Source organism: Homo sapiens, chromosome 3 (assembly GCF_000001405.40).
Source record: "Homo sapiens chromosome 3, GRCh38.p14 Primary Assembly".
In the NCBI taxonomy this organism is placed as follows: domain Eukaryota; kingdom Metazoa; phylum Chordata; class Mammalia; order Primates; family Hominidae; genus Homo; species Homo sapiens.
In genome coordinates, this window is record NC_000003.12 from 65,975,956 (window position 1) to 65,989,318 (window position 13,363).

Sequence of the window (13,363 nt, forward strand, 5' to 3'; positions counted from 1 at the left end):
CAGGCTGAAGTCAGTTGCTACTGAATGATGGAGAATCTCCATTCCAAAGGACAGTCTTTATTTATGGCTTCATCCTAGGTTGGTGCCTTCAAAGTTGTCCTTTGCAAGTGTTTCATCCCAGTTCTACTCTGAGTGCCAAGAAGCCAGGAACATTTGGTGAACTCGGCTATGTCTCTCTGCACTGGTGGTGACTTTTTGCTGCTCCTCCCTAGACAACCCCTATGTGACATAAGATGATATTGTAAAAGTCATAAGATATTCACGAATTAAGCAAACCATCACCAATACCTTAAATGATGTAATTACTTATATATAGCCATTTTTTAAACGGAGTGGGATGAGGGATGCTAAGATGTAGGCCATACAAAATTTATTTAAAAGATCTTTTTTGGGCCAGGCATGGTGGCTCATGCCTGTAATCCCAGCACTGTGGGGAGACGGAGGAGGGTGGATCACTTGAGGACAAGAGTTCAAGACCAGCCTGGCCAACATGGCAAAATCCTGTCTCTACTAAAAATACAAAAAATTAGCCAGGTGTGGTGGTGTGCTCCTGTAATCCCAGCTACTCAGGAGGCTGCAACACGAGAATCACTTGAACCTGGGAGGCAGAGGTTGCAGTGAGCCAAGATGGCACCACTGCACTCCAGCCTGGGTGACAGACTGGGACTCTGTCTCAAACAAACAAAAAAAAGACCTTTCTCACTAATGAGTTTGTCGATGGCTAAAAAATATTTTGATCATGTTCTGGAGTTAATTACCCTCACGTTTGACTTTGAACCAAACTCAATTACATACAAGAATTAATCGAAACACACTTAGCTTAAGGCACAGGTAAACCATGAAGAAGACTTAGAAGCTGTGCAGTGTCATCGTAAATTAGCAGAAGCTTTATTACCTGCCCTAATTCAAATTACATGCTTTCACACTTGCTTTGTTCAAAAGGTACAACAGGTAGAAGGCATCCTCAAATGACAGCTTCACTCTCAGTGGTGTCTCTTACAGGTATTTTCAAGCAGAAATTGTGCACATATTACAAGTTAACAAGAAATGGAAACCATCTCAGCAGGTAATCTTTCAAATCCCAATTCCAGGAAACCAAAATGTCAATTAAAGCACCCTGGGCTTTTTAGTGATGCTCAATACCTACTTATAAATGATTGTGATGTTATAGGTTTTCTTTCCATCTAACTTGTGCTTTAGGCATCTCAACATTGGAAAGGAGACCATAGGTCATCATGGAGTCTAATCCTTTGGCCCCACCACCATCCCGCAGTGGCATATGTGAAAGGTTGTCAACATCATCACTTTGTTGTCACTGTCACCCTCAACCTACGAGGACTCCACTTGACTTCATCCTGAAAACACACTTAGGTACAGGTAAGTATGCTTTCAGTGTCCCAGAACAGCGTATTCGAAACCAGATCACGCCACCGCTCAGCTGGACCTGCCACCCTTATAATAAAATCAAAACTCGGCCGGGCGCGGTGGTTCATGCCTGTAATCCCAGCACTTTGGGAGGCCAAGGCAGGTGGATCACCTGAGGCCACAAGTTCACCACCAACCCGGCCAACATAGTGAAACCTCGTCTCTACTAAAAATACAAAAATGAGCTGGGCATGGTGGCACACACCTGTAGTCCCAGATACTCAGGAGGCTGAGGCACAAGAATCACTTGAACCCGGGTGGCAGAGGTTGCAGTGAGCCGAGATCACACCACTGCACTCCAGCCTGGATGATAGAGTGAGACTCCATCCTCCTGCCACTACCAAATAAAAAAAAAAAAGAAACCTCATCTCCATGACCTGAAAGGCCCTACAGGCCTCCATCTCCTGTTTGTGCCCGACTTGAGCCACATTCATCTGCTAGTTCTTCCTCAAACCTGCCACGTTCTTTGCCGCCTCGGTGAATTGTTGGCACTGCTCCCTCTGCCCGCTGTCCTCTGCCCCCAGATCACCAGGAGACCAACTCCTACTCAAAATCCAGGTCCTGTCTCAAGTTTCTAACTTCCAGAGAGGCCTTCCCTGACCAGTGCATCTAACACCTATTGCATTACCCATTATCTCTCAAAACTAGCTGTTATTTTTTTCCGCATTTATTCACTCACATGCCTATTACGTGCCATATGTGTGCACACAAGATGGTAAGCTTTATAATAATAGCAGCTGATCAAAGCTAAAGCTTACACTGTATGGAAAATTTACTATGTGACAGGCTCAGTTCTAAGCACTTCAGTTTCTCACAAGCCTATAAGGCAAGTAAGAATATTATCCTCCTCTTACAAATGAGAAAACTAAAGCACAAAGAGGTTAAGTAACTTGTCCAAGACACACAACCACTAAATGGTAAAGCTGGGATCCAAGTCTGGAAGTTTGTGGCTCTAGAATCCACACTGATAAGTAGGAAATTCTGCCTCCTTCCCACAAGAGCAGAGACCTGCTCTGTCTTGCTCACTGCTGAATCTCCAGGAGCCTAGAATGCTTGGAAGAGAAGGCCAGGGGAGGGAGCTGACTGTCTCCTAGCCTAGGTGGACTTCCTTTTTCTCTCCTATCATACCCCAAATACTTCCAACCCAGGGATCCTATCCCCCATTCCTAACAGTATCCTCAGTTCCATCACTGCAAGTGTCATCTGAAATCCTACAATGGGGTGACTCAGCTCAAAATTTCTTTTTTTTTTTTTTTTTTCTTTTTGAGATGGAGTTTCACTCTTGTTGCCCAGGCTGGAGTGCAATGGTGCAATCTCAGCTCACTGCAACCTCCGCCTCCCAGGTTCAAGCAATTTTCCAGCCTTGCGTCCTGAGTAGCTGGGATTACAGGCATGCGCCACCACGCCCAGTTAATTTTGTATTTTTAGTACAGACGGGGTCTCATCATGTTGGCCAGGCTGGTCTCAAACTCCTGACCTCAAGTGATCTGCCCTCCTCAGCCTACCAAAGTGCTGGGATTACAGGTGTGAGCCACCACGCCTGGCTCAGCTCTTAATTTCTTCATTCACAAAGCAATAATTTCGAGGACTCAGAAAGCATCTCTTCCTTCATTCACTGAGCCCAACTATCCATCTCACTCACGTTTTTTTAAAATTCTGGAAAAAGAAGTCAAGTTAGAAAGAACAGCCAAAGTTTTTTTCTTTTCTTCCCCCCCCCCGCCACCCCCCACAGCTACTCACAGAGATATCAAGATGTCTGGAACAGAAAATAAGGACTGAATATTAAACTCACCCAGTTCAATTTTCTTATAGTAATTTACCAAATAAGGCATAACCTCAGCCTACAAGCCCTTCCTTCTACTCCAGCTTCTATTTGGGTCATAATATATCTATCTTCAAATGATCACATTCCCGGGGTGGAAAAGTAGCCTGTTGCTTAATCAAAACGTCATCCAACAAAAACCATTCTCGCAGTTAAATTCCGTTTCCTTCAGGAGCAGTTGGCTGAAAGCTCGCTGGGACATGTGGTTTCAGCTATTCTTACTCTTCAGGGAAGTGCTATTTTTCTTCAAAGCAACGTAGCCCAGCAACCCCAAGGAAACCTGATTAACTTCTTTGGTGATGTGCTAGTAAAACTCACTGTTGTCTTGCTTCAGGGAATTTTAATGGCAGCATTTCTGTTTCATTCATTAGAACCTTGAAGTACCCAAAGAAATGAATATCCTTTCTCTTTCTTTGTTCCTCATTTTGTTTTCAGAATGCAGGTCAGGATCAGAAACTGGGAACCATGTGACACCTCTGCAAAGAGTCGATAGGTAGATAAACTTGATGGCTTGCAATCCAAAGGGTGCTCATAAAGGAAAAGCTTAGGTGTTAATAGGACATGCCAATTACTCCAGTGTCGGGCTGCATAGCTCAGATGGCTCCAGCACCAGGCCAAGAGACCAAAAATTCAGAATCAGTCTTCTCAATAAACTGTGAGCTCAGCAATATTCCAATATTAAGCAGCACCCTGGACTCCAGAGAGTCATCTTGAAAGTATGTGCGGGTGATTAAAGAGGAACTGGCCTCTAGAGTGGGTCACTACAAACTGACCATCATTCCCGGAAAAGCTGCTGAGCACATGGCCTTCAGCACATGGCCTTGTCCCTGGGCAACCGACACATCTGGATGAGGGTGGGACAAGTGAACAGTGGTGGGATTAATTATACAAGCAAACAGTGGTGGCTTTAAGGTCCAGCTTTTAAAAAGCTGGGGCCAAAAAGTTAGGTGTTTTAAATTCTGGGTCATGCCCCTTATTAGCTGTGTGACACTGGACAAATTACTTAGCCTCTCTAAGCCATACTTTTGGAGATCATTTGAAATATAGCACATAGGTATATGAAAAATAAACAGGTAATGGCTGGGTGTGGTAGCTCACGCCTATAATCCCAGCATTTTGGCAGGCCAAGGTGAACAGATTACCTGAGGTCAGGAGTTCAAGACCAGCCTGGCCAACATGGTGAAACACCGTCTCTACTACAAATACAAAAATTAGCCACACATGGTGGTGCACGCCTATAATCCCAGCTACTCGAGAGGCTGAGGCAGGAGAATCGCTTGAACCCAGGAGGTGAAGGTTGCAGCGAGCCAAGATCGCCCTACTGTGTACTCCAGCCTGGGCAAGAGACTGAGACTCCATCTCAAAAAAAAAAAAAAAGGCAAGATAGAGAAGTCATTGTGACTTAGCACAGAGTTGCTTATCAGTAGCTGAGGTGCAGACTGGTTAAATGATGGGTATATATAAGAGAACTAGTTAGTACACAGGTCCCCTAATGTTTGGTATTGTGGAAGAGGCCCTGGCCTGAGAGTTGGAATGCTCGCTTATTAGTGCAAGCACAGCCACAGATTATATATGTGCTGTAGAGCTTACCCCGTCCAATGTTTATTCTACTTAAATCTAAATAATTACAATTAAATGAATTAAAATGAAATAGAATTAGAAATTTAATTTCCCGGCCAGGTGCAGTGGCTCATGCCTGTAATCCCAGCACTTTGGGAGGCCAAAGCAGGCAGATCACTTGAGGTCAGGAGTTCGAGACCAGCCTGGCCAGCATAGTAAAACCCAGTCTCTACTAAAAATCCAAAAAAATTAGCTGGGCATCAAGGCGTGTGCCTGTAATCCCAGGTACTTGGGAGGCAGAGGCAGAAGAATCACTTGAACCCGGGAGGCGGAGGTTGCAGATCACGCCACTGCACTCCAGCCTGGGTGACAGAGTGAGACTCCATCTCAAAAAAAAAAAAAAAGAAAAGGAAAGAAAAGAAATTTAATTTCCTAGTCACACTAGCCACATTTATTTCAAGAGCTCCGTAGCCATGTGTGGCTTTTAGCTTCTATATTGGATAGCTCCACTGTAGAACATTTTAAACATCACTGCAAGTTCTGTTGGACAGTACTGCTTTAGCAAGCAGGTGAACCTTTTGGCTCCCACTTCGGCTTTTTTGAGGAGTTGGTAAAATATGACCATTAAGCATAACTTTGGAGTTATGCTGACTTCAGATTCTGATTCTGGTTTCTCAAATCCTGCCTGACATTGAACAAACAACTTGCCTTCAGTTTCATCATCTGTAAAATTGAGATAATAATAGCCCCTCACAGACTTATAAAATATTATATGAGAGACTGTATTAGATATATGTGGTTAGTACTTCATATGGTTTGGCTGTGTCCTCACCCTTCTCATCTTGAATTGTAGCTCCCATAATTCCCACGTGTTGTGGGAGGCACCCGGTGGGAGATAACTGAATCATGGGGGTGGTTTCCCCCATATTGCTCTGGTGGTAGTGAATAAGTCTCACAAGAACTGATGGTTTTATAAGGGGAAACCCCTTTTGCTCGGTTCTTATTTTTTCCTTTTGCCTGCTGCCATGTAAGACATGTCTTTTACCTTCCACCATGAGTGTGCCGCCTCCCCAGCCATGTGGAACTGTGAGTCCATTAAACCTATTTTTCTTTATAAATTACCTAGTCTCAGGTATGTCCTTATTGGCAGTGTGAGAACAGACTAATACAGTATTAAATGCTCAAGAGATAGCATGTATGTATTTTACATAGAGTTTATCATTTGTATCAGGTCTCGTAAGTCGAGGCATCTGTCTGCCTCCAGAGACCAATCTCTTAAAACACTTTCTCCCCTTGCAGGGTTGGAGACTTTCACTATGTAACTTAAAATAAAACAGTGAAGGAAGATTTTTCCTGCAGTGCCATTTTGACCAGAGCTGGATTTACTCTAACAAGTGCCTGCACCTCTTGGTCGAGTTCCCTGAGCATCGGCCCTCTCCTGTGGCTTTGGGAAGAGGTCTTGACTTAGGAAGAAGGCTTCCATGATCCTCTCAGCCTGAGACTGGCCTGGGGTTTTAATTCCCACCCTCTGCTTATCTCTTGGCCGACATTTGGGCATGCCACATGCCCCTTCTTTGGTGCAAGGTCTATCATCTGCAAGGTGCATTTTACAGAAAAAAAGGCAGAGTCCTGCTCTTGACCTTTCTCCTTCTCACCAGGGAAATGCTTCATGCCATCCACCCTGAGCAGAAGTCCAGAGACACCTGGGCAACTTCCATGGTGCATTTAAAAAGGGAAGAAATGCCAGAATACAGCTGTAAAAATGATGGTATATTTTAAATATCAATACCTAATAAATCAATGCTTTTAATGCCTACATAATATGCCACGTGGAGTGACTGCCATTACGAGACAATTATGGTCTCATAAAAAATATTAATTATCAGTGTCTTGTATTGTAGAGTGTGTGGTCTGGTAATAGGGCTCATGTGTAACATCGTAATGATTGTATTGTCATTTCAGTCACCATTATAGTGACTGTATATCTAAGCTCAGTAGGCACCAGTGCCAAAAATCTACATTTGAAGCCCTTTGTGACTGATGCATCCCAGGTACTAAAAGCTCTCATGAGAGGTCCTGAGAGCACAAGTCCTGGCTTACTTCAAAAAATATATATTTTTGTTTGTTTGTTTCTTAACAGTAAGGAAAATGATTTTTTATTTTTTTATTTTTCTAAAGACAGGCTCTCCCTCCGTCACCTAGGCTACAGTACAGTGGCACAATCATAGCTCACTGCAACCTCCAACTCCTGGGCTCAAGGGATCCTTCTGCAGCAGCCTTTTGAACAGCTGGGACCACAGGCTCATGCTGCCATGCCCAGGTTATTTTTGTTTTTGTTGAAATGGGGTCTTGCTTTGTTGCCCAGGCTGGGAAAATGAATATTTTAATGCAAGGGGTTTCTCAGAATAGAGGAAAAGTTCAAGACACATCATAAAGTAAAACTTGTTTGCCTTCTGACATAAATATTTGCTTTTCTTTATATGTGCATATAATTTATTTCTCTGGTCTTGCCTTCTGCTTCAGTAGTTACTGATTTATGAACCAATGTTTAGTAGTGCTCTCCTTTGAAGCTGGGGAAAATTAAGTGAAGTTCTTTTATGTGAATAATGTGGAGTACAATGAGACTCTCCGAGGCCTCTCTGTGAAATGACTTTAAAACCACTGGTGAGCATTTCAACTCTGGACTTTTCTGTCTTTTAAAATTCACTCACATAGTTTGGATGAAAAGAATTTCAACAGACAATGAGATTTAGATAGCCTGATTCTAAGTTTCGGTGCTCTTCTCCAAATACAGTTTCTTTTTAGGTGAATATTATGTTTTAAAATTTTTTAAAAATGAAATTAGAGTTTGATAGCAGTCTTTTAAATAAGTCATTTCCCCACCCCTCCTTATCTCTCTCTCCCTCCCAATTATTCTGTCACTTATTCACTGATGCCCTGGCTAACACAGTCACTCAGCACTCCTCCTAGAGAGAACATTAGTTGACAATGGCCGCTTCCAGGGTGGGTAACTTTGCCAAATTACTTAACTTCTTTATGTTTCAGTTTTTTATATTTGTAAAATGGGAATAGTGATGGTACTCACCCCATAAGGTGATTATAATAGTACAGTTTATAAGTTGGTGGGAGGTTTGAATGAGTTAATGCATCTAAAGTACTTGAAGTCGTACCTAGCACCCAGGAAGTACTCATGTTGTCATATTTTACTCATCAAATAGTAATTGAGTGCCTTCTTAAAAGGTAGTGTAGGCCGGGCACAATGGCTCATGCCTGTAATTCCCAACACTTTGGGAGGCTAAGGCGGGTGGATCACCTGAGGTCAGGAGTTCAAGACCAGCTTGGCCAAGATGGTGAAACCCCATCTCTACTAAAAATACAAAAATTAGCCAAGCATGGTGGCAGGAACCTGTAATCCCAGCTACTTGGGAGGCTGAGGCAGGAAAATCACTTGAAGCCAGGAGGCAGAGGTTGCAGTGAGCCAAGATTGTGCCATTGCACTCCAGCCTGCGTGACAGAGTGAGACACCATCTAAAAACTATATAAATAGTGTGTTGGGTACTAGGAATCTGGTGGTTAGTAGAAAGATGCGGTTTTGCATTCATGGATCCTCAAACACACCATTTATTTATTAAAAATTCTGTTGATACTGGGATGTAAGTGCTTCATGGAACTGTGATGACCAATCTGCATGTTCATATTTCCCCTCTCCTTCTTTTAAAACACGTTTAATATAATATTTTCAAAATAAAATGTGTGTGTGTGTGTGTGTGTGTGTGTGTGTGTGTGTGACAGGGTCTCACTCTATCGCCCAGGCTGGAGTACAGTGTTACGATCACCACTCACTGCAGCTTCAGCCTCCCCAGCTTAAGTGATCCTCCCACTTCAGCCTTACTCTCGGGAGTAGCTGGGACCACAGGCATGCACCACCATGCCTTGCTAATTTTTTTTTCTTTTTTTTTTTTTTTTTAGAGATAGGAGTCTCACTATGTTGCCCAGGGTGGTCTTGAACTTCTGGGCCCAAGTGATTCTCCAGCCTCAACGTCCCAAAGTGTTAGGATTTACAGGTGTGAACCACCATGCCTGGCACAAAATACCATTTCATTCTCAGATTAATTTTGTACCATGGAGACAAGGGGAAGTTTTCTCTTTTCTTTGTAGATGAAGCAACTTGAGGACAGATATTTGGAGGTCTTGTCTGAGGTTCATTTAAAATGGGGCAGAGGCCCCAGGCCTTCTAACTCTCCATCCAGTTCTCTGTAGTAGCCCTTCCTACCCCAGCTTTGGTACTGATGTCAACCCCAGTGTTTCCTCATTTACTGAGCATGTGTGACTTTCAAAAGGCTCTGTTACTCTCTTGATTTCTGTGAGGAGCGAGATAGCCATGACTTTACCCTGACCATGTGACTGGAAACATACTGAATATTATTGGATGGAGAAGTTCACAGTGTTTCACAAACACATGACAAGTTATTGTTAACATTATATGAATGGGAGGTGGCAGGTCAAGTAAGGCCAGAGAAGCATTCAAGCTGACACCTTGTTCATGAATTTAATCTCTTATGAGAACAGCTAGAATGATCATAGTGGCCAGTTTGGTAGCCTGATCATTTTGGTCATATGCAGAAATGTTCTCAATGGACTTTGAGAGTTAGAATTAGTTGGTATACAGGCTCCTCCTTGGAAATGTACACACCAAGCAATTGAGAAAAGCTGGAAATGCACCTGTCTCAAGTCTCATTGAAAATTCCTTTAGGTATCATACTCCAAAAGATTACATGGAATTGAACATTTTTGAAATAAGGACAGGACTAATAGACTTTCTTAAGTGGAAATCTCTCGTCTTTTTTTCCCCTGGTACTTTGAAAACTTAAAATAAACATCGTTTCCAGTATTTGATGGTTTATTTACTAACTACCTGTTTGGAGGAAATGTCATATTGTCTCAGAACAATGGAAGCTCTGCTCACAAGAGAGCAAGGAGAGGGGGTGGTTTTCAGTAGTCAGTTGGGATAGACCCAGTTTGGCTCACATTTTTTGCATCTCTGAGTTCAGATGAAAAGGATAGTGAGTGGCACTGCAGAAAACCCAAGAAAACTGGAAATAGAAAATGGCAATTTTGAAACTAAAGCAATTAAACTAGTGCCCCATTTGAACATGCTCAGTGACTTGGCTTAGAACTGTTAGTCAAGAAGAATGTATTAAATGCTGTATTTGTAAAGACGTCTTCCCTAGTTGATAGATTCTCTGCCCTTCATTGGCTTTTGGAGAATCAGCTCAAGGGTAAAAGGGTATAGGATAGAAGGAGCAAATGGGCCAGATGTTTGTGGTCATTTCCTTCCATTTCCAGCCAGACATAGCTGATTGATCATGGTGCCTCTTCTCACTAAACACAGGCATGTTTGCAACATCATTCTCTATTGGAATTGGCACATGAAACTTATATACCATCCTTGATAAATGACATTGTTTTTTTCTGTTGATGTAGTCCCAATTTTACCCATATTAACTTTTAAAAAAAAAGATTGTCTTATCTTAGTAGAAATATCTAAGCTCAGCTGAAGAAATAGATTCTATAAATACCCTTACAACCTAAACGCTAATTTTATCCCTAGATGAGTTGAGATGTGCACCTGAATTTGTCTCTTGCATCTGAATCAGGGCCAATTGCTAAGCTCTATTAACAGAAGTATGTAATTAAGATAAAGGGCAGGAGCAGGACAGCCAGTCCTAAAATTAGCTCTTGCCTTGATGTTCCCCAGGTGCAAGTGCACACAGCCTTGGTCCTTTCATTCTGGATGCACCCGATTTCCTTTTCAAGATGTGTGCAGGCCTTACCAGGATTTCCAAAAGCTTGGTTCTGGCTCAGGTTGGGAAGCTGAGATTGTTTTCTCCTGTGGGTTGTTATTCGTGTTTGAAATGTCGTCTGGCACCTTAGAAGCTTTTTGCGTAAATATTCTTTAAGATAGGTGTCACATTATTTATGTTTAGCTTGTGATAGTCCAACGGTCTTCTTACAAGCTGTTTCTGGACTGGTACTTTGAGAATAATGTAATTTTTATCAGCTGTCCATTCTTTACAATGAAGGTAAGTAGTGCAATTAAGGAAGGGATTTTTTTTTTTTTTTTTTGAGACAGAGTCTAACTCTGTTGCCCAGGCTGGAGTACAGTGGCATGATCTCAGTTCACTGTAACCTCCACTTCCCAGGTTCAAGTGATTTTCCTGCCTCAGTTTCCAGAGTAGCTGGGACTACAGGTATACGCCACCATGTTCGGCTAAATTTTTACATTTTTAGTAGAGACGGGGTTTTGCCATGTTGGCCAGACTGGTCTCGAACTCCTGACCTCAAGTGATCCGCCTCGATCTCCCAAAGTGCTGGGATTACAGGCGTGAGCTACCGCGCCTGGCCTAAAGAAGGGATTTTAAGCCTACCTGTCAAGGGATACCAGTATAGCTACACATTTCACTCATGTGACTTTGGGAGGGAAGAGCTTGAACTCTGCTATTCCTAATGTGCATCCTTGGGCAAGGCATGCACCTTGTCATGTGCTCTAGTATCCTAGATGAAATGGAGATGGCATCAGTACCGACCCCTCAGGGTTGGTATAAGGATTAAATCAAAGACATAACAGACATTTGTAAGTCAACGAACACAGTGCTTGGCATATGAAGCTAAGATGTAGGTAACTGCACATTAGAGGTGGGAGGCCAGGGTAGGAACTAGGGTGAGGCAGGCGAGCCACTTACCTTGGGTGCAAAATTTAAGAGGCACCAAAACCCTCAAGAATTAAGAATTAATGCAATACTTTCACTTCTTCCTTCCTGCCTGCCTGCTTTTCTTTCCTTTCTTTTTTAAGGCAGAGTCTTACTCTGTCACCCAGGCTGGAGTGCAATGGCATGATCCCCACACACTGCAACCTCTGCCTCCTGGGCCCAAGCAATTCGGGACTACAGGTGAGTACCACCATGCCCAGCTAATTTTGCATTTTTTGTAGGGATGGGGTTTCCCCACATTGCCCAGGCTAGTCTCAAACTCTTGGGCTCAAGCAATCTGCCTGCCTTGGCCTCCCAATGTATTGAGATTACAGTCATGAGCCACTGCTCCCGACTACAGTACTTTTAAAAATAAAAATTAGTGTGGTAAAGTCCATCACGAATTACATATCAAAACTGTAAATAAATTCAAGGACTGCCCCTGCACTTGCATGCCCCTGCCTCCTAGTGTTATAAGGACAAAATAAGACCATGAATCTGAAAACGGGTTGAAGATATAAGTGTAAGTTATTATCTGAACACATTGTTAAAAGCTTAAAAAATGAACAAAACAAAAAACCTCTCAGCTTTTCAGAGCCTATTTGGGGCTCAAGACATTCCAATCAAGTATGAAAACAAAGTCAGTAAGTACCAGGAAACATTCAGGGACCCCTACAAGTTACTCAAATCTACACTTGTCCCGAAATTCAGGATATCCATTTGTGTTGGTGACATCCTATTTTTTTTCATTCAACACAGAAGCCAGAGTGGTCAGCTATTTTTGAGGTGAAAGTTAAAGCAGGCATAACTGTGCTGTTGACAATGTTGGCGACTGGCCCCAGTGAAGGGGGTTATGCAGACAATACCCCTAAGTACAGTGGCAGATTGGGAGGGTGGAGGTCTCTCCTCAGTCACATCACTCCAGATGAGCCATCAGCGGCTGCAAGGCAAGATTTCTACTAACAACGTAGAGATGTGCCACTTCCAGGAATCTACCTACAAATGAGGGCAAAACCAGAGTTAACCTACCATAGCAGAAACACAACAAAGAACACAATGAGATACAGTGAAAGGGAGTCTAACCTCTAGAAACCATAATCAGATCAGCCTGTAGTTTTTCCTTGAGTTGTAATTAGCAGCTGTTGTTCAGTTCAAGCACTAAGATGAGCCCAGCTGTCTCATTCTGAGGACAATCAACAGTCCAAGAGCAAAAACATGGCACAGCTTCTATCATTATAATTAGAAAGAACTCATTTTTAAGAATTATCACACCTAATATGAAATATTTTGTCCTCAAACTTTTCCTATTCTATTTTTTATCACCACCCCCACCCACTGACTTATTAACAATATTTTTATGCCCTGATTCCCTGAAGACAGTTAACAGACCATTTTAAAAATATATTTTCTCATTCGACCCTTACTCAATTCTGGGAGATATGCCTGGTAAGGATTAGTCTCCCCATCTGACAGCTGACTTAACTAAGGCTCAGAAAGATGCAGACAACTGCCTGTAATCCTCAAGTTAATAAGTCGAAGGACAGAGCCAAGAACCTAGGTTTGCTCAGTTTTATACCAACGCTCCATCACAAAATTACACATTTAAAATGCTTCCTATGCAGACACTATTCAAAGCACTGTCACTGCCTTTATATAACCAGTAAGCCTCAAACATGGAAGATTTTAAGAGGATTTATATAGAAATAATGTAAAACATACATTCAAACAGGTAGAGAGTGAAGATGGGAAGGATATTTGACCACATTCTCAGCTCAGTGTTTTTAAATTCTGGCTGCACGCTAGACTT

General features: G+C 42.5%; 1 protein-coding gene and 1 long non-coding RNA gene across 7 annotated transcripts in view; both read right to left on the reverse strand.

The window, feature by feature from the left end:
- MAGI1 (membrane associated guanylate kinase, WW and PDZ domain containing 1) overlaps positions 1-13,363 on the reverse strand; it is a 685,393-nt gene that overhangs the window by 622,430 nt on the left and 49,600 nt on the right. The gene's annotated exons all lie outside the window — the stretch shown is intronic.
- The window catches only part of LOC124900543 (uncharacterized), a 55,600-nt gene that overhangs the window by 7,241 nt on the left and 34,996 nt on the right, over positions 1-13,363 (reverse strand). The window contains exon 1 of the long non-coding RNA XR_007095951.1: positions 1-13,363. This exon is cut by the window's right edge and continues 34,996 nt beyond it. This is a non-coding gene — a long non-coding RNA (uncharacterized LOC124900543).